The following is a 20,436-nucleotide window of genomic DNA, read 5'->3' on the forward strand; positions in this document are numbered from 1 at the left end:
ACTCCAGCAGAGGGAAGGCCTTCTGTGAATCATCTGGGGCTGGTACTGGATAAGAACATTGTATATGGGGTCAGGCAGTCCTGAATCTTAAATCCTGGCTCTACCTCTTCCTAGCTGTGTGATCTTCGGCAAGTTGCTAAACCTCTCTGTGACTCAGTCTCCTCATTGGAGTGCGGGAATACCTTCCTCACGTGTTTGTGGTAAATATTGAATGAGGTTGTGTGTGCAAAGTGCTTAACAGAGTGTCTCCCATACGGTAGATGCTCAATAAATAGTGGCAAGGCCGGGACTGCGGTGAAGCAAGCTGGCCCCCAGGGCACAGAAATTCAGGAGACATTCTCAGACTTGTGCAAGTACAGGGGCAGGACCTAAGCGTGAGTGCCTCCTGGGTGCCTGACTTGCCTCATGCTAGTTTCCACCCTGTCTAGCTGGGTCCTGCTACCCCGGCACCCATAACCCCCAGTTGATCTCAGAGACTGAGTACCTGGAAGGCCTCTGGTAGGATGAGAGAGACCCAGCCCTGCCCCTGTAACTGCCTGCCCACCTGAAAGCAGGTGAGCCCCATGAGATGAATAAAGGGTGTGTACCCAGGGGGAGAGGAATGGAGAATGAGCCCAGTGAAAAGCCTGAAGGCGCTTGCTCACCTGGGGCCTTCGGAGGGTGGGAACCACCACGGAGCCCCAGCCCTGCCCCTGAGTGGGGGCAGGGCCTCTGCCAACTGGGCTGGACCCCCACTTCCCTGTCAAAACTTTTAAAAACACAAACAGAGGCAAGAACGGCATTTGCATAAATCTCATTAGAAAAAGTGCAAGTTTCATAAATCTTGTGATAAATTAGTGCGATATCATTCTCAACGTGATGTATTAATTTTAGGGCAAAATGAATGGTGCTGTGATCATTGTGGGTAATTACGAGTCTCCTCAAAGAGGAAGTGATTTCTGGAGGGACTTTTCTGACCTCCTTCGCGGCAGGAGGGTGGGAGGAGGGCAGGGCAGAAGGGAGGTTGTCTTGCTCACCTGCTTTTATGATTGCGCCTTTCTTCATTTCTTTTCCTGCTATTGAAAGGTGAAGACAAGCTGGGTTGGGTCTCTGGCTAAGGGGTGGACAGCAGGGGTACAGGAGGTGATGGAATTTTGAAATCAGGCCTTGAGTCCCAAATTCCCCAGAGCCAAATTATTTTAGAAAAGAATCTTAAGCCGGGCACGGTGGCTCACGCCTGTAATCCCAGCACTTTGGGAGGCTGGGGTGGGAGGATTGCTTGAGCCCAGGAGTTTGAACCCAGCCTGGGCAACACAACAAGACCTCATCTCTATTAAAAAAAAAAATTGTAAAATTAGCCAGGTGCAGTGGCGCACTTGTAGTCCTAGCTACTTGGGAGGCTGAGACAGGAGGATCACTTGAGCCCAGGAGTTATGATTGTGCCACTGCACCAGCCCAGGTGACAGAGGTTTTGGAAAAAAAAAAAAAGAAAGAAAGAAAGAAAGAAGGAAAGAAAGAAAAGAAAAATCTTAAATTTCTAGGACCTGGACTCATGGAAACTCTAACTTAGGGGTTCTCAAAAATGTGGTCTCAGACAGGCAGCATTAGTGGCAATTGGGAGCTTGTTAGAAATGCATATTCAGAACCTGAAAGTCTGGGAGGGGCCCATAAATCTGTTTTTAATAGCTCTCTTGGTAGTTCTGATGCACACTCAAGTTTGAGAATCACTGCTCTAACCGGGTGGTTCTTAACTTGGCTGTACGTGGGAATCATTTGAGGATTTATATCAGAATACTGCTGTCTGGGTCCTGCACTAGACCAATTAATTAAGACAGAATCCTTAGTGGTTGGGGCCTGGGCATCCTTATTTTTAGAAGCTCTCCAGGTGATGCTAATATGAAATCAGGTTGAGATGCATGGCCTCAAAGCCATTAATTAACATCTTTTTAATATTGGGATTGGAAAATTTTGAACATGGGAAGTGGCAACAAAGCAAAACATTTTTTTTTTTTTTGCTCCACCTGTGGATTGGCCTAAGCTGAATGTGCCTGGGGTGCCCCCATTGTAGCTGGGTTCCACATGGGTAAGCACATGGAGAACTGGAAGAGGCTCAGGGAAGCTGGCCTCCCTGGAGGAGTGATTCCCATTCTTGCCTGCCCAGTACATCACCTGGCGATTTAGAACTTTCCAAAGCCCAAGCTGGCCCCTAGGCCAGCTAGTCACAACGTTGGGAGTGTGGGATGCAGACACCAGTATTGCTCGAAAGCTCCAGCTGATTCCAGTGTGCTGACAAGTGTGGGAACTGCTGACCTCTAGGTTTTCCTCCATCACAGTTTCTCAGATATGTCCTGAAGATTGAAGGAACCTCAGAAATCATCAAGACCCTGGATATCAACTCCACAGCCCATTGGAATCACTCGAGTGGTTCAGCTTGTTCTTAAATCCCGATGCTTGAGTCCCTCCCTGGAGATCCTGATGTATGTGGTCTGGTGTACAGATGGACAGTTGGGATGTCAAAAGGGCTACAGGTGATTCTAAGCTGCAGCCAGGGCTGAAATGACCCTTTGTTGCACTGGGACAGAGGCCCAAGACGGAAGGGATGCCCCGGAGATGGCAGCCTCGTAGTGGAGAGTCATCCTCCAGCCAGGCCACTGCTGTTCCCCCACGGTCACATTCAGGGGACTGTGAGGATGGGTTCACGAGTGCAGCCTCATTCTTGAGCTATGGGGAGGGTGACTGGTGACTTCTCCCTGTAGCTTAGGGCAGAAGGGGACATCAGGATCACTTCTGAGAAGGAAGGAACCAGCATGTGCCTGCAAGTGTTTGGATAATCTCTTTGTGAGCCTTTAATGGCCTGCAGTGCTCTGTTTATTTTAATGATAATGTCAAGTTCAATTTGCCGTCATTTTTCAACATTTCCTTTTGTAAAGTTAATTGAACAATTCAATGAATTGAAAAGTTTCAGGAGAGGGGAAAAAAAACACACCCACCCCACTGTTATCACTGTTATTAAATCTGGTAACTACCTCTTGGCTCTCCAAGCCCTGAGACAAGACTTCAACCCTCATGGGCCTGGGAGCTGCCGCAAGGATTCAGGAAGGTCAAACAGAACATTCCAGGGCCCCTTTATTCATGGCTGTTTCATGCTCAGGCTGCTATTTCAGGGCAGAAAAAAAAAATATCCAGTCTGCCATGGACCCTGGCTGCTGGCTCTGCGGTAGCTCATTCCCCAAGTGTCCAAACCAGATTGTAAACCCTTGGGAGCCGGGTTGGGTCTTCTCTGCCTGTCTATCCTCCGCTGCGGAGCGCCTTCCTTGTACACAGTATGTGGAAAACAGAGCCTTAATATCGTAGATATCTAAACTGGAAGGGACCTTAATGTGGTGTGGTGGAAAGAACAGCGTATGGGGAGTCCAGGGACCAATTTGAGAGGCAGCTCCTCCACCTGCTAGCTGTTGAGCTGGTTGACTGTGGACTTGTCACCGGGCCACCCAGCCCTGTTTTCTCCTTTGTAAAATGAGCTTGTTGGCCATATCAAGAATGCAAATATTCGGCCAAGTAGAGCTACTCCCTCCCCTGTGTGCATCGTGTGTCACTGGCAGATCACACACTTCTTCCTACTGACCTCAGATGCAACCTCACACTCCCCAGCACGACACCCACAAAACCATGACCCGGAGGTTGGAGTGGGCACATGAAACTTGACCCATTTGCCAAGATTGTTTTCAGTTCTCCTCGTGGACCTCTGCACTTTGGCCATTGATGCCAGCCCCTTCGTAGTGTCAGTGGGGAAGGAGAAGCTCAGAGACAGCAGCGATTTGCCCATGGTCACACAGCTAGTCCTGGCTGAGTGTGAACCAGGGCCAGCCACATCAGTTCTAGGCCCGGCTGATTCTCTCAGCCTTAAAGGCAGGGACTTCTCTAAGGCTGCCTTGCTCCCAAAGCTTCTCCTGTGCCCTTTGAGCCTGTGTTCCAAGTCCTCAACCTCCTGTCCTTGGACTCCCTGGAATGCTCGTCCTGAGGGTCACATTCGGGCCAGGTGAAGGGCAGGGATGCAGTTCTTCATGCCTACAGTTTGCAAACAGCTGCCAGTCCATCCTGAACTTCCCCAGGGTCCCGGGGAAAGGCCAGGAGAAGTGTGCAGTGTGATAGATATGTAGGTCTGCCCGCTGGACTGTCAGCTGCAGGAGGGCAGGTTCTTCTGGCTGCAGTGTTTGTTTTATCATCAGTGCCTACAGCAGTACCAGGGACAGCAGGTGCCCAGGCAGTGTTTGCTGAGGGAATCAGTGGAGGATGTCAACAGGAGGGTCACTGAGCAATCCCAGCTCTGCCTTGTGCTAGCTGTGTGACTTTAGGCAAGTAACTTGACCTCTCTGTGATGCATTGGGTTGTAGGGGAATAGAGCACATAGGTGCCTATGACTGGTCCTCGCAGCCCTCAGCAAATGATGGTCCTTATTTGCTATGTCAGAGGCAGAGGAGCTCCGGGTTTCTAAGAGTCAGGGCCAGGTCCCTGAAGTATTGGTATTCAATGTCTGATCTTTCCTCTGGGGCATATTAATTTTTAAAAAATGTGTGTGTGAAGGGAAGGAAATCAGGATATCAAAGGGATAGCTGCCTCCCATGCTTATTGCGGCACTATTTGCAATAGCCAAGATATGGAATCAACCTAAGTGTCCGTCAATGATAAATGGATAAAGAAATGTGGTATATATACACAATGGAATACTATTCAGCTATAAAAAGGAAATCCTATCATTTGCAGCCACATAGATGGAATTGAAGATCATCATGTTAAGTGAAATAAGCCAGGCACAGAAAGACAAATGTCGCATGTTCTCAGTCACGTGTGGGAGCTTAAAAAGTGGATCTCATGGAAGTAGAGTGTGGAATGATGGTTACCAGTGGCTGGGGAGAGAGTGAAAGAGGGGATGGTTGATGAGTAAAAAAATATAGTTAGCTCACACCTATAATCCCAGCACTTTGGGAGGCTGAGGCAGGCAGATCACCTGAGGTCAGGAGTTCAAGATCAACCTGACCAACATGGCAAAACCCTATCTCTACTAAAAATACAAAAATTAGCCACGCATAGTGGCACATGCTTGTAATCCGAGCTACTTGGGAGGCTGAGGCAAGAGAACTGCTTGAACCCATGAGGTGGAGGTTGCAGTGAGCTGATATCATGCCATTGCACTCCAGCCTAGGCAACAAGAGTGAAATTCCAGCCAGGTGCCGTGGCTCACGCCTGTAATCCCAGCACTTTGGGAGGCGGAGGCAGGTGGATCACTTGAGGTAGGGAGTTTGAGATCAGCCTGACCAACATGGAGAAACCTCGTCTCTACTAAAAATACAAAATCAGCTGAGCATGGTGGTGCATGCCTGTAATCCCAGCTACTTGGGAGGCTGAGGCAGGAGAATCGCTTGACCCCACGACGCAGAGGTTGCAGTGAGCTGAGATCATGCCATTGCACTCCAGCCTGAGCAACAAGAGTGAAATTCTGTCTCAAAAACAAACAAAACAAATAAACAAAAACTAGCCAGGTGTGGTGGCACCCGCTTGTAATCCCAGCTACTCGGGAGGCTGAGGCAGGAGAATCGCTTGAGCCTGGGAGGTAGAGGTTGCAGTGAGCTGAAAGAGAGCACCACTGCCCTTCAGCCTGGGTGACAGAGCGAGACTCCATCTCAAAAAAAAAAAAAAAAAAAAGGATAGTGCTGTGTAGCACAATAGGGTGGCTATAGTTAGCAATAATTTATTGTATATTTTAAAAGAGCTAGAAGAGAAGATCTGAAGTGTTCTCAACACAAAGAAATGATAAGTGTTTGAGGTGATGGATATCCTAAATACTGTGATCCGATCATTACACATTGTGTATGTATCAAAATATCACAGGTACCCCGTAAATATGTACAATTATTATGTATCAATAAAATAAATACATTTTAAAAAATATATGTGCCTGTGTGTACTTCACTTATTCCTCCTCTTCCCTGCCCCCAGAGCCTCTGGGTTTGTGTCGTCCGGCTCTGTTTAGTGCCTCCTTCTTCCCTGGATTAGCCTGTCCCCATCAGTGCAGACACCTGTGTGGCCAGGTGAGCCCGCAGCCCCTTCTCTGACTCTCAGGAGGGAATGGCCGTCTTGCTGGTAGCAATAAGTAGACTGAGGAAAGCCAGGGTGCTAGAGGGGAGCCCATCCCCACCAAGTCTCTGCCTCAGGGCTGCTCACCTTCAGACCAGGGTCCACCTGGAGGCCGCCCCCATGGGGTTAGTTGCTTTGGGGTGAGAAGAAGGCTGTATTCAGGAGCTGAGTTTTGGATTTGGATAAAAGGCTTTGTGATAAAAACCATGAGGGTTGTGGAATGAGAAAGACTTGGGTTGGACTCCTGGCTTGCTGACCTTGGGTAGGTCACTTTACCCCTCTGAGCCTGTTTTCTTTTCTTTTCTTTTCTTTTCTTTTCTTTTCTTTTCTTTTCTTTTCTTTTCTTTTCTCTTTCCTTTCCTTTCTTTTCTTTTCTTCCTTTCTTTCTTTCTTTTTTTGTTTTGTTTGTTTTGTTTTGAGACAGAGTCTCGCTCTGTCCTCCAGGCTGGAGTGCAGTGGCATGATCTTGGCTCACTGTGACCTCTGCCTCCTGGGCTCTAGCAATTCTCCTGCCTCAGCCTCGAGTAGCTGGGATTACAGGCCTGTGACACCACCCCCAGCTAACTTTTGTATTTTTAGTAGAGACGGGGTTTAACCATGTTGGCCAGGCTGGTCTTGAACTCCTGACCTGAAGTGATCCACCCACCTTGGCCTCCCAAAGTGCTGGGATTACAAGGCGTGAGGCACTGCACCTGGCCTGAGCCTCAGTTTTCCTACCTGTATAACAGGGATGCTAACCCCTCTGTGTAAGGCCATTAGGAGAAATAAGTGACAGAGTAAATGAATGAAAACCATTGAGTGTGGTACCTGGCAAAGAGTCATGCCCAGGAAACAGAATGCTGGTTTCCTTTCCCCCTGACAGTTCATGCCGTCCCCTCCAAGTGGACGGAGTTGCAGGAGAGCACAGGAGTGAAGCTGGCCTGTGGGCTTTGAAGGTAGAGATGGTTCCTTTGACCCAGGTCAAGGGTTTTCTGATGACAGTGAGGGCGTCGATCAGTGAAGGGTGAGCCTAGAGGCCGCCTGCCTCTCAGGAGAGAACCGGCCAGTGTCAGAGCTCACTCTACTCCCTCTGACTTCCCCCAGGTGGAGATATTGGTGAAGCCTAAGATGAAGAAAAGAGCTCCCCTGAGGTCAAACCAAGTTCAGGACCCAGGGCATTTGAGAGACTGAAGGCAGAAGGGTGGGAGGTGGGACCTAAGACAAATGAGATTATCCCCAGGAATCAAGGCACTTAACTGGCCTGTCTGATCCCAGAGGAGAGACAAATGAGATGGCAGGCTCCAAGGCCAGCTCAGGCTCTGGGGAGCCCATCCCAGGGAGAGTGGGAGGGCAGGAGCCCCTGGCCCTGGCAGGGACCCGGCCAGCCAGGAGGAGGAGGGTGGGTTTCCCTTCTTGCAGGTGGGGGTGTGCAGCAGGCTTGATGGCCATGGTGGGACAGTTGGAGTGAGGAGTAGTTATTCTCAGAAAACCCTGGCCATACCCGTGGCCTTGGAATTTGAGGCTGGGGCCCTGCTGTTTGCAACTCCTTGGCTCAGCTACTCACACATGCATAGCTCTATCCCAGGCGGCCCTCTCCCGGCCAGGACCCTTGCTTCCCTCTCTGCAAAATGAGAAGGGGGCTTTGTCTGTTTGGTTCTCACTTCAGCGATAACTAGTCCCTGCTTCTGAGCTAGCCTGCAGACACCAAGGCTGGTTCTGTCTCTCTAACAGCCCTGAGCCTGGCAGAGGCAGACCACTAGGTTCTTGGCCCCTAGATGGGGAAGGACAGTAGATCACAGCTGGTGTGAAGTCCTTTTAGGTCACAGGTTGCAAAAGCCTTGCTTTCTTGTGCCTTTTAGGATTGATTATGGTGGCTGCATGGAACCCTGTATTGTGAAGGATTCTGAAGTTGAATGCAGATTCACTGGGAAAAGGTGCTGTGATTGATTAATAAGGTCTGTGTGGGCAAGAGCTGGGACTGGCTAGCTCCCTGGCCCTAGAAAAGCAGTAGTTAATCATGAGGGATGGGGAAGAGGAGAAGGAAGATTTGCCAAGCGTGTCCCAGAATATCAACTTCTACCTTCAAGGGGTGATGGCCTCTTGCCTGCTGTGCAGAGGTGCAAACAATGAATCCATGCAGGGGCCTGGTATGCTTTCGGGTGACAGCAGTCTGGCAGGCCGGGCCCAGGGGTGCAGAGGGAAATGTGCATGGCCAGGGAGGTTGAGGATGCATTGGGAAGCACTAGACATCATGGTAAGGAATTCGTTTTCATTCTCTGGGAACTAAGCAGGCGTTTGAGCAGAGTGTGGCACAATGGAAGGTGTGCTTTAAGGAGATGCTGCTGCAAGGAGGGAGCAGGGTATGTTCTCACACCGCTTATTCACCCCTCCGTGTTTTGGTAACAAATATTGCTTTCATCCTTCTCTCATCTAGAGAAAATAAAAAGCCCTGCAGCCTGTGCTGCCCTGCCAGAGTTTCTGGCCCGCCCCTCATCTAGCAGGTACTGCTCTCCAGGAGCCGCATGACCACAATCCCCAATCCCAGCCCTTGCCCCTCAGTGCAAATAACAACAATAAGAGTAATAACAGTCATCTCAGCGATCAGCATGGGCCCAGTGGGGCCTCAGGGGAAGCTGTGATTGTCCACCCCTTGCCTGGAAGGCAGATGTGGACTGCTGCTGAGGGCCGAGGCCACGGTGGAGGATGTGCCACCAGCTTTGCAACTCCCAAGGGGCCTTAGCAGTCTGGTGGGCAGATTCCTACCTCCTACCTCCAAGATGGGGTACACAGCCCCCAGGATGGGGTACAGGGCCGGTTCCTCAGAGACTGGACCCCCAGTCATTGCACAGCTGTGATTCCTGCCTGGGCCCAAAGACAAGTGCTACTGATTTGGGTGTTATTAGGTTTTGATCAGCTATCCTTTCCCCTGTCCATTTGTGCACACAGTTAAGAATTAACTTGCTATACTCTCTCTTCCCGTTGTGGCTCAGAGACCTTCATGACTTTGGGGGGCTGTCTTTTCCTAACACCTCTGGGCAGTTGTTAGCAGGATTCATTTATTTACCCAATGACTATTTATTGAGTGCCTCCAGGATGTCAATCCCTGTGTTAGGCTTAGGGATATGACAAGGAATAGGCAGGTCAGGCTGAATGTGCTGCGTGATGGGCAGGGGGTTGGGGTAGGTGGTCAGCAAGTCAAGTGAATAAGCAGATCCTTTCAGAGAGAGAGGACTGTGAAGACAATAACGTGGAGTCTTAGGACACTGAGTAACCAGGCGTCTCTTTAGCTAGACTCTGCTGATTGAGAATTTGAGGAAGGCCTCCCCAACGTGCTAACTCGCCACCCGAGAGGTGAATAATGAGGAAGCTGCCGTAGAGGTGGAGTGACCTAGGGTAGGAACCTTCCCAGCCAAAGGCACAATCAGGGCGAGGGTCCCGAGGCAGCCACAAACTTGTCCTGTTCGGGAACAGAAAGAAGGCATGTGGGGCCAGATGGGGCTCAGCCCAGTGAGCCTGTGAGATTCAGTGATGGATGTCATCTTGGACCAGATCACTAGGGCCTTAGAAATGGTCAATTTAAGGTTTTTTTTTTTTAATTTAATTATGGTAAAATATACATAACATGAAATTTGCCATCTTAGCCATTTTTAAGTGTATAGTTTAGTAGTGTTAAGCACATTGACACTGTTGCCTAACCGACCTCCAGAACTCTTTTTCTGTTGAAAACTGAAACTGTAGCCATTGAATAATAGTTCTCCATTCTGCCCTTCCCGACCCCTGGCACTCACCATTCTACTTTCTGTCTCTATGAATTGGATTACTCTAGGTACCTTATATCAGGGAGATCACATTGTACTGTATTTGTCTTTCTGGGACTGGCTTATTTCACTGAGCATAATGTCCTCAGGGTTTATCCATATTGTAGCATGTGTCAGAATTTCCTTTCTTTTTAAGGCTGAATAATATTCCATTGGCTGTATCTACCACATTTTGATTATCCATTCATCTGTGGACAGATACTTGGATCGCTTCCCCCTTCTTGGCTATTGCAAAGAATGCTGGCATGAACACAGATGCACAGTGATTAAGTTCTTGAATGTTCTGCTTTCCACCCATGAGGTTAGACTGGGCATGGTTTGGGTGGCACAGAGTGGAGGGGCTGGCCTAGCTGGATGCCCCTTCCCCATGAGGGTAGGAGAGGCCAAGTGCACAGAATCCTCTGCCGCACTGATTGAGCCAGGAGTCCTAAGACTGGGCCTTTCAGTCATCCTGGGACGGGTGGAGCTTTTCTCTGCATCTAAAATGGGAGCCATAAACCAGGCTGACTTACAGGCAGTACTTACTGGTCTGGTTGTTTACGGCCAGCGTTTTTTCTGATTGGTTGATGCCTGTACTGTGCCTGTTGTTAAATATTTGAATATCATCCTGCTATAAACCAGCTACAGGACTTCTAACCTGGCTGTGTGTGAGCGTCTCCTGCAGGGAGAGTGGGGGCTGCTGTTTAAAAGTTTATACTCTGGGCTTCCCAGTAGCCAACCCAGTCAAGAGGGCCTGGGAATTTGCATTGTAAAGCTCTACAGTAGTTCCAATGTACCGTCTTAAACATGCATTGGAAATTTGGGCTCCCCCAGAAATAGATCTTGTGATGAAGATTTAAGTGCAAGAAGCTTACTGGGGAGGAGGTTCCAGGAAACACAAGTAGGGAGTGAGGAAGTGAGACAGGAAGGGAGGGAAGCCATAAAGATGCGTTATTGTCAACCAAGTTGCCAGTGTAGAACACGGACCTCTGAGTTATGCTCTTGAGAGGTGCCAAAGCTGGGCTGTTTACCTACCTTATCCACAGAGCTCTGAAAGTCAAGCCAGAAAGGAAGGATTCCAAATTCTTGGAATTTTATCTAGAAAAGAAGACTAAGCAGCTTTTGTAAGTGAACTTTTAGGAGGGTTCTAACATGATGATGATAGCTAACATTTTTTAGCTCTAACCATGGTAGACAAGGTCATCCTTATCTATCATCTTCCACAGTAACTCGGCGAGCTCCGCTTACTGGGGCATTGGTTCCCGGCACTTCCCGGCTGTGCTGTGTTTAGGAGGAGCAGTCTCTGATGGCCGGAACCCCTCGGGAGAACACTCACAGGCGCTGGCAGTTAGAAGTCAGGCTGGTGTGTGTGGAAATGTGTGTGCTGAGGGACAGAGGGCAGGGTACCAATAGCGTCTGCTGCGGAGACCCAGCCAGCTCCCATCTCTCTATCATAAGAGGGCATTCCAGCCCCTGTGAATAGCAGGGTATCCTCCTTACCGCTGAAAAAACACCAGGCCTCATCCATTGCTGGTGAGAATGTAAAATAATACAGCCACCATGGAGAACACTTTGGCAGTTCCTCAATAATTTAAACATAGAATTACTGTATGTTCCAGCAATTGTGCTCCTAAGTATACATCCAAAATAATTAAAAACAGATGTTCAAACAAAAACTTGTACATAAATGTTCATAGCGGCATTATTTCCAATAGTCAACAGATGGGAACAACATAAATAGCTGTCAACTGATCAATGAATGAACAAAATGTGTTACATTCACACAAGGGAATATTATTCAGCTGTTAAAAAGGAGTGAAGTACTGATACATGCTACAACATGAATGAACCATGAAAACATTTGGCTAAGTGAAAGAGGTCAGGCACAAAAGGCCACATACTGTATTATTTCATTCATATAAAATATCTAGGATAGGCGAATCCATAGAAACAGAAAATGGATTCGTGGTTGCCAGGGCTGGGGAAGGGATTCATGGGGAGTGACTGGTTCATGGGCATGGAGTTTCCTTTGGAAAGGATGAAAATCGTGTGGAATTAGTGGTGATGGTTGCACAGCATCGTGAATGTACTAAATGCCACTGAATTGTGTACTTTAAATGGTTGAAGAGGTAAATTGCATGTGATGTGTATTTTACCACAAATTTTTACAAAAGGAACTCCAGATATCCTTCAGCCCTGAGATGCAAGGTATATTGTTTCTCAGGTGGGAAGCAAACCTGTGTGGCATGTGTACCCCAGGGTCCCCCAGCCAGAGATGGTTCTCCTGCATGGCTGTAACTAAGAACACTGGGCTGGAGCTGAACCCCAGAGACTGGCCTCACTCCTGTAGGAATAGCACAACCATAGGTTGCTGGAAACCTCCCCTGGTGGAGAAACAAGCCTTGCTTCCCGGAGAAGCCAGGGCTGGGCCCAGCTTCTGTAGAGAGGCAGAGCAGCGCTGGGCGGAGGAGTATGTGCCCAGCTGGAAAATTGCAGGGCGTCTTGTCTTAAATATAATATTAAATCGGCACCTTTAATTAGTACACTTAGAAAAGGTCACTAGCAATTACCTGGGACACAAAGAAGGCATGAGCAGGCAAGAGCCCATGAAGAAGCTGAAAAGGACCATTTTGAGCAGCACATAATTGAGGGGAAAATGGATAAAAGTCCGGGAAATTACAGGGTGGGTGACAGCAGCTGATGGCCCCATCCCTGTCCTGCCCAGCGCCCCCCTTCTTGGGAGGACCTGAGCGTCAAGCCTGAGAGAGCCATTTGGGATATTGGGCCCAGTTGTGCAACCTTGGCTGGAAGGCCAGGGTGGTCTTCCCAGAATCCTCTTGGCCAGCTGGGAGCTTGGCCCCAGATCCTCCACCTGGGCTGGGCCCTGAGGTACAGCAGGTGAGGATTGCGGTCCAGGGGGCTGCAGGCTGCCATGGACTCATTGTTGCACCTGGACAAGCAAGGCGCTTATGGGCCTCAGTTTCCCCATCTGGAATCTGCCCAAGGCTTTGGGAGGTAACTCAGTGTTTCCCAAACTTTGCCACTAGAGATTACCTGAGAGCAATGGAAAAGAAATGTATACTCCTAGAAGTCAGGGGAGGCTAGAAATTCATTTATGGCTTTAGATTATATCTTTACAAATAAATTAAACATAAATAAATTAGGCCGGACATGGTGGCTCGCACCTGTAATCCCAGCACTTTGGTAGGCCGAGGTGGGCAGATCACTTGGGGTCAGGAGTTCAATATCAGGCTGGCCAACATGATGAAACCCCATCTCTACTAAAACTACGAAAAATTAGCTGGGCATGGTGGCTGATGCCTGTAATCCCAGCTACTGGGGAGGCTGAGGCAGGAGAAGCACTTGAACCTGCGAGGTGGAGGTTGCAGTGAGCTGAGATCATGCCACTTGCACTCCAGCCTGGGTGACAGAGCGAGACCCTGCCACCCAAAAAATAATTAATTAATCAATCAAATGCTGCTCCCAATGTCTTCCTGTTCGTTTTAGTATAAAACATTTATTTGTCACCGGGCAATGCAAACGCTTTGGAAAGATGTGCTTGGTTTATCTGTGACTTTCACATACTTCCTCTTACACCGTCTAGAAAGAGCAATGAACTGGGAATCTGGGAGTCTGGAAACTTGGGTTTGAACCCTGCCTTTGTGGCTCACCATTGTGCTTTGGGCAACTTGCCAAATGCCTTCAGCTTTTCCAACTCCGAAATGGGAGGGTTGGGCTCTGAAGATGTCCCAGGATTTTACTCCTCCTTCTCACCTTCTCCCATCACCTTGGATGCTGCCATTTCCTGCTCTGCTGTTCTGCTGTTTGACCTTGGAGAAGCTGCTTCACCTCTCTGAGACTCAGCTTCCTAATCTGCAAAATGGATAGAATAACAACTACCAAACAGACTTGCTGGGAGGATTTAATGAGAGAATCCACATGAATGGACCTTGTGTCTGGCATATCATAAGAGCCCAGTGAATGTCCAATGTCTTCCTTTTCCAGATCTTGGGCTTCTTGTTAGGATCTGATAGGTCATGTCCATGAAGTCCTGAATCTTGAGTTTACATATTGAGTGTTGAGATATCTGTGCTGTGGAAAGAAATGTAGGCTCTGAGCCCCAAATGCCTGGGATGTGGATTCCAGCTCTGCCATTTGCTGACCATGAGGACATGGTAATCACCTCATCACTCTTTGTTGCCTTATCCGTTAAATGGGGGGAATTGCATTATGGACTGAATTAGTGCATGGAAATAGCTCAGCTTATGCCTGGCTTATGATTAGGGCTCAGAAATGTTTGCTAGCATCATCATGTTAGAACTGTCCTAAAAGTTCTTTTCTAGATAAAATTCCAAGAATTTGGAATCCTTTCTTTCTATCTAGCTTGATTTTCAGAGCTATTTGGTAAATGTGAGAGTCAGTATTTGGGGCAGGTAGTGTCTGTCTCATTTTATAGGGGAAACTGAAACCTGGAAATAAGTGATTTGCCTTAGGCCATGGCTCCGATCTCCTCACCCCTTTGAGAATCAGAGGAAGACTATAGACATTGTCTTCGGAAAATGACGCGCTGTACACTTATCACATTTTGTATACAGTTCTAGTGAGTTTAAGGACCTCCTGAAGCTAAGGAGACCAACCATCCCAGTTTGCCTGGGGCTTCCTGGTTTTAGCACATGTGCTGGGAAATGCTTCAGTCCTGGGCAAAGCAGGGCAGTTAGTGACCCTACCTGAAAGCTACACAGGGGAGCTGTGAGCCCCAGGAGATGATGCCCTGCACTTCTTAGGGAGGGTATAGACCAGGCATCCTGAAGCCTAGGTGCCCTCAGGCCAGGGCTTTGCTTCCTGGTAAGGGATGACACCTGCCTCTCAATCCCCTTCTTGAGGATGGGAACTAGACCTTGTCACCCAGTTCTAGACTGGAGTTCCTTGAGGCTCAGCTACATCTTCTTAACCTCTGTGTACTCCAGTGCTCATCATAAGGGCAGCACCTGGTCACTCTTGAATGAATGCCAAAAGATTTTGCAAAGTATTCTGAATTAGAGAAGGTGCTTCCATTTGCAAAAGACAGAAGTCCAACTAAACTGACTTAGGCCAAAGAAAAGGTTGCAAGGGGAATTATTAGCTCATATAGCTGAGAAGTCCAGAGGATGGAGCTAATGTCAGCAGAGCTGGTGACAGACCCTCAGAAAGCCATCAGGAATCTGTCTCTCCATACATCATTTGCCTCTGTTTTCCTTTGTGTGCTTCATTCTCAGACAGGCTCTTCTTGTGTGGTGCCAAAGATGGCTGCCCGCAGTGCCAATGAGCAACTCCCATGAAAGAGAGCTCCTCTTTCCCAGTAGTTCCAGCAAAAGTCCCAGGGCTGGCTTTGATTGGCTAGTTTGGGTCACATGCTCATCCCTGAACCAGTCATCATGACCAGGGAAATGGCACACTCTGATTGGCTAGCGCTGACTTATATGCTCATCTTGGAACATAAGACTTGAAATATTGGGGGCCTGTCCTCATCTGAGCCACTTGGAGAAGGAGGTCTTCAAATTAAAATCAGAGAAAGGGGGGCAGGCAGAAGTCATAAGTGTCTTTTACACACTCAGAACATGGTGAGTGGTGGTTCCCTGATACCATCATGACACACTGTGACAAGTGGACCAGGGTGGAGGTGGGGTACCTGGATCAGAGCTCCCAGATGCGCCAGGGCCTTGTGATGATCTGTGGCCTGCTGGAGGATTGCTGAATGGCCACTCCCTGCTGAGAGTTCAGCCACCTGGGCAAGGTAGGAAGGCATAAACGTGACCTCTCTTATTTTCCCTCTGCTCTCTCCCTTGGCTACTCCAGGTTCTTCTGTGACCCAGTTGCTGGCCCAAGACATGGACAATGACCCCCTGGTGTTTGGCGTGTCTGGGGAGGAGGCCTCTCGCTTCTTTGCAGTGGAGCCTGACACTGGCGTGGTGTGGCTCCGGCAGCCACTGGACAGAGAGGTATGACTTGCCCATACCCCTGCCCCAATTCTCTCCTGGGGACAGGAGGAGACACTGGGGGAAGGACGGCCCGCCATCTTTTGGCGTCTTCCTCTAAGACCCCATTCTGACTCCACAGTGGCATCTTCCTGCCTGAATGGTATTCCTCTTCAAGGGCCAATGCTGGTGTCTGGACTTAGGGTTGGAATGGGTGGCTAGAGGTGTCTCCAAGCAAGCAGCTACATTGGAGAGGCAAGAGGGACAGTGACCCTGTGTTCATCCCTTGTAGAATGGCCCTCCATGGAGGGTACAAGTCTACCCCTACCCCCAGTAAACATTCCCCCAATATCCAGAGAAGCAGGAATTGACGGCATGGTAGCCCTTAGCAAGTTAAGGTAAAGACGTGAACACATCCCCAACCCTTACCCTCTCCTTGAGTTTGAGGAAGGAACCATAGAGGTGTGTAGTGACTTGCTCAGTGTCACACAGCATCTTAGAGGCAGAGCCAAGACTAGCACCCAAGATGCTCGGCTTCTGTCTTTTATTGCTCTCTTAAAGCAAGGATCCATATTCCACACCTGCTTCCCCAACCCAAAGGGCAATGCTGGTATTTTAGGGAAGCCTTTGGGTGCCTGGTTCCAGGCAAGCTCCTAGGGCAATCCTGGAGCCCCTCCCGCCCCATTTAGGGCCCAGGACCCAGGACCTCAGCACCGCCTAACTGCCCCCCTCCCTCTCTCACTTTTCTTTCAGACCAAGTCAGAGTTCACCGTGGAGTTCTCTGTCAGCGACCACCAGGGGGTGAGTGTTCCCTGGGGCCCTGGAGGCATGTTCCTGGGGTCACAGGATTTCTGGACCCCTAGGGTGGAAGAGGCCAGAGTCAGGTGGCGGCGCTAATTGCCCGCCTTTCTCTTGCCAGGTGATCACACGGAAGGTGAACATCCAGGTTGGGGATGTGAATGACAACGCGCCCACATTTCACAATCAGCCCTACAGCGTCCGCATCCCTGAGGTAGGAGCCACTGGGGTTACCCTTGAGGGTATCAGAGACCTGCTGCTCCCCAGACCACCATGGTGTAGGTGAAGAGTCAGGTGGGGAGAGCAGCTGTGGCTCTTCTGCCCAGACCTCAGCCCAGGTGCCAACTCTGAGCAGGTTGGCGAACATGCTGGTACCCTGGGAATCGGGGCCCAGCCTGGGGTTGGGAAGAGCAGTTGGGCCGGTAGGTTGGGAGCCTTGTGCTGGAGGCTGAGCCCCACACCTCCAGCTGGAGTCAATGGTGGGACAAGAGTTGGGAGAAGCAGGTGTTGCACCCTCTTTCCTTCCACTCGTATCCAAATGTGGGCCTGGGCAGGGTGGGTGGGCAGGCCTAACCCCAGATCTTCCTGCTTTGGCCAGAATCAGGTCCCTCCAGGACTCAGGGAGCATGCAGTTCTAGGAAGGGGCTTTCCCTAGCCCCGCGCTCTCCACCATGGTCTCCCAGGCCCCTGTACTGTGTACTCTGAGTATGTTTGCATGAGTGCATGCGTGTAAAATCAAGCCATTGCTGGTAATTGAGAAGTACAAATTATTGCATTACAAACGGTTCGTTAATAAGCTGGCTGCCAGCTCCCGATGGCACCAGGGTTCCCACTGCTTGCGGCCCCTCTCCTGGGTGGCTGATGGCAGTCTTATGGTCTGGCAGTTAGTGATTCAAAGACTCTGAAGTGGGAGGGTAAAGGGCTTCTCACTGGGTGTCCCTCGGGCCTGCCCTCGGGGTTTTGGGCTGGGCGGTGGCAGTGAAGGGTTGGGATGGGAACAGTGGAAGGTAGAACCCTCTGGAAAGGCAGGTTGGCACCATGTCATTTGAGTTCTAACTCCTTGATCCAATGACTGATCAGGGAGTAAAAAGCCCTGAGAGAATATCGCAGTCAGTTCATGGATGAGGCTGGGCATGGGAGAGTGACTTGCCCGAGGTCGCACAGCTTTAACTTCGAGCCACCTGGCTTCTAGGGCAGGCTCAGCCTCCCTCGAGGGTGACGAGATCTTGCTCATACACCCCACTCCCTGGCCTCTGTTACTGAGCTGCGAGCCAACGGTCCTATGCTGGCACCAGATGGAAGAGAGGACAGATGTGCAGGTGGGGATGCAGCGGAGGCACCATGCACTTCGCCTGCCTGGGGCGGGAGAGAACTGGGGAGCCCGCAGTCCTAAACATGGGGGCATGGTGCTCTGAGCTGTGGCCGGTGTGCCCAGGGACTGCAGCTTGGCTCCTGCTCTCTCTCATTTGGAAGTCTCCCTAATTTAATTAAGGGTCTCTACGTGCCAGCCTGCACTCCGGGCCTGGGCTCAGAAACCAAGGGCACGGCTCAGAGTTAATGAGCCTTGGACCCATTGCTCAGCTGCCATCCTGGCAGGCATGGCTGCCCTCTCTTCCCTCTCATGGGGCAGCAGGGAGCCGCACTGGCAAGGAGACGAGGGGTCATGTCCCTCCTCTCCTGCCCTTGGGCTGGGGGCCAGCCTTTTCCTCTCTCCTGCTTCAGGAGATGTGACTTCCAACACTCGGCCCTGTTGGAATCCCCTGGGATTCTCCAAAGGCCTGTGCCTCCAAGGAGAGAGTCTCTTCAAGTCATTCATTCATTTATTTAACAAATATTTATTGAATGTCTGCTGTGGGCTTGGCTCTGAGCCAGGCTGTCATTGTGCAGAGACCTGGGAGGCCACAGGAATGTGGAATGACAGGAGTTAGAACTAGAGGCAAGAGACCCTGGGTCCAGCCCCTGCTCTGTTCCCAGCTTGCTGAATGTGTTTGGGCATGTCACTTCACCTCTCTGTGCCATGGCCCTCCTTATCTAATAAAAACAAAGGGCAGGTGGATAAAGTGGCCTGCATGATACCCATCTGACAAGGAGAGGGTAGGCTGAGAGGAGCCAGCTGCAAAGGACACACCGTCCTTGGAGGAAGGCCCACATGGTTTAATTGCTCGTGTGTAAACATCCCTGGTTGCTTTAGTGGCCTGATACTCGATGCCCTGCTTGGGGCTGCTCAGTGTGGCCAGTGGGGATGTGGTATCAGCTGGACGGAGGCCTGGCTACTCCTGATCTGAGGTACCTTGACATTGACCAGCCCTTGCCTGGTGTGGTCACCTGAGCTGGAAACTAGCTGCCTGGCTCTGACCACAGCTGGGGTACTAGCCCAGAGTCTACTGGCCCCTGCCCCGGAAATGAGCCCAAGCTTTCCTGCTTGCATTGAGGTCACCCTGGAAACCCCAGGCCCCTGCCCTTTAGAGTGTGATTCAGCAGCAAAGGGCCCTGCAAATGTGAACAGGGTGAGGATGCAAGCCAGAGAAATGGGGTGAGGGAGCACTGCAGACCCTGTTAGGTGTGAATGCCAGGGTCTGCCAGGGTGATCAGAGAAATCTCAGCAGGCTTCCTGGAGGAGGTGGGTTTCCAGCAGAGTCTGGCTGAGGTAAGCAGTGGTTGCTCTTGTGCTGTTTCGTGGGAAGAGAGAAACTGGAGTCAGGACACCTGGGTTCTAGTCTGCTGGCTTCAGGCCCTACAGCTTTCAAACTAGGGAGTTGAACCCAGCCCCTTCCAGGGCTGACATCCCATGATCAGAGGATGAAACCCAGCAGGAGAAGGTCCTTCCCATCCTTCAGCACCTTATCGTTCTTTGCAGGATGGCGGAGAAGCTCTGGTGGCTGCTTCCATCCATTCAATTCCTCTCTTGGCCATCTCAGCCATCTAGGGCCCTAATAATGATGGAGTCTGTTGTGTGCAGAACCCAAGGATTGGCACAGGGAGTAAGTTACAGGGTGGCAAATCCAGGTCTATCTAAGGAAGAGCTTCCTAATAATAAGACTGCCCACACACACCCATGCACACACAGTCTATGCCCCTGCCTTGCTGAGAATGTGCTGAGCTCCCCATCCCTGGAGTTATGCAAGCAGAAGTAGGAGGACCACTTCTCTCCAGCCATCTAGCACTGCGTGTTGGGGAAGTGATGAATCAGAGGGTCCCAAACATGCCCCAGCAGAATTTCCCAGGGGACTGGTTAGAAAGCATATTCCCAACCTCTGCAATTGTGAATCAGTAGGCTGGGGAGAGCCAGCCCAGGAAGCTGCATTTTTTACAAACTCCTCTGGTAATGGTGAGAACAGCCAGGTCTGGGGAGCCTTGGAGGATCCCACTAGAGGTTTTCTGAGAGGTGCTGAGGGGTAGCCAATCTTGGATGTGAACTTTCAGCCCCTCCATGGCTGCCTGGAGACATGACCCACCTGGACCCAAGTCCTCAGGCCAGGAACAGCAGGGAGTGGGAGGCGGTTCAAGGCTAGGCATTGCCCCGCTGCCTGCCTCTCCTTGGCCCCCACTCCCTCTGAAAGCCTCTGCCGGGTCCAGCCCCCAGCTCAGGAGAAGCTGGGCAGGTGTGTGTTTGAGTTTGTTTGTTCTCGTTCCCCTCCTGCCCACCCCACTCCCCTCACTAAGCTGTTCTCCATGTAATTATCCATTTTATCAGGGTGAAAGGCCCTGCAATTCACTTGTCGAAGTCCTAACGAGGCAGTGTAGATGCTTTCAAGTCCATAAAGAAAAGGGAAATCCTGCTAGAATTGGCAACT

General features: G+C 50.3%; 1 protein-coding gene and 1 long non-coding RNA gene across 6 annotated transcripts in view, besides 2 other annotated features; one reads left to right on the forward strand and one right to left on the reverse strand.

Moving 5' to 3' along the window:
* The window catches only part of CDH23 (cadherin related 23), a 419,028-nt gene that overhangs the window by 97,437 nt on the left and 301,155 nt on the right, over nt 1-20,436 (forward strand). For all 5 annotated transcript variants that reach the window (NM_022124.6, NM_001171930.2, NM_001171931.2 and 2 more), the window contains exons 4-6: nt 15,726-15,868; nt 16,598-16,645; nt 16,764-16,856. In NM_022124.6, coding sequence (NP_071407.4) covers nt 15,726-15,868; nt 16,598-16,645; nt 16,764-16,856 — 284 coding nt within the window. The remainder of the gene's footprint in view (nt 1-15,725; nt 15,869-16,597; nt 16,646-16,763; nt 16,857-20,436) is intronic.
* Nucleotides 652-1,151: an enhancer, noted in NCBI's record as "H3K4me1 hESC enhancer chr10:73254765-73255264 (GRCh37/hg19 assembly coordinates)". NCBI's record gives its function as "activates a minimal SCP1, AML or CMV promoter by ChIP-STARR-seq in naive H9 embryonic stem cells {active_cell/tissue: H9 hESC(naive)}" and the evidence as "EXISTENCE:reporter gene assay evidence [ECO:0000049][PMID:30033119]".
* Nucleotides 6,984-7,504: an enhancer, noted in NCBI's record as "H3K4me1 hESC enhancer chr10:73261097-73261617 (GRCh37/hg19 assembly coordinates)". NCBI's record gives its function as "activates a minimal SCP1, AML or CMV promoter by ChIP-STARR-seq in naive H9 embryonic stem cells {active_cell/tissue: H9 hESC(naive)}" and the evidence as "EXISTENCE:reporter gene assay evidence [ECO:0000049][PMID:30033119]".
* Nucleotides 13,797-17,564, reverse strand: CDH23-AS1 (CDH23 antisense RNA 1). The gene is made up of 3 exons (NR_120672.1): nt 17,422-17,564; nt 15,559-15,654; nt 13,797-13,982 (listed from the first exon to the last, which is right to left on the reverse strand). It is a non-coding gene; the product is annotated as a CDH23 antisense RNA 1 (long non-coding RNA).

This window comes from Homo sapiens, chromosome 10 (assembly GCF_000001405.40).
Source record: "Homo sapiens chromosome 10, GRCh38.p14 Primary Assembly".
Lineage (NCBI taxonomy): Eukaryota > Metazoa > Chordata > Mammalia > Primates > Hominidae > Homo > Homo sapiens.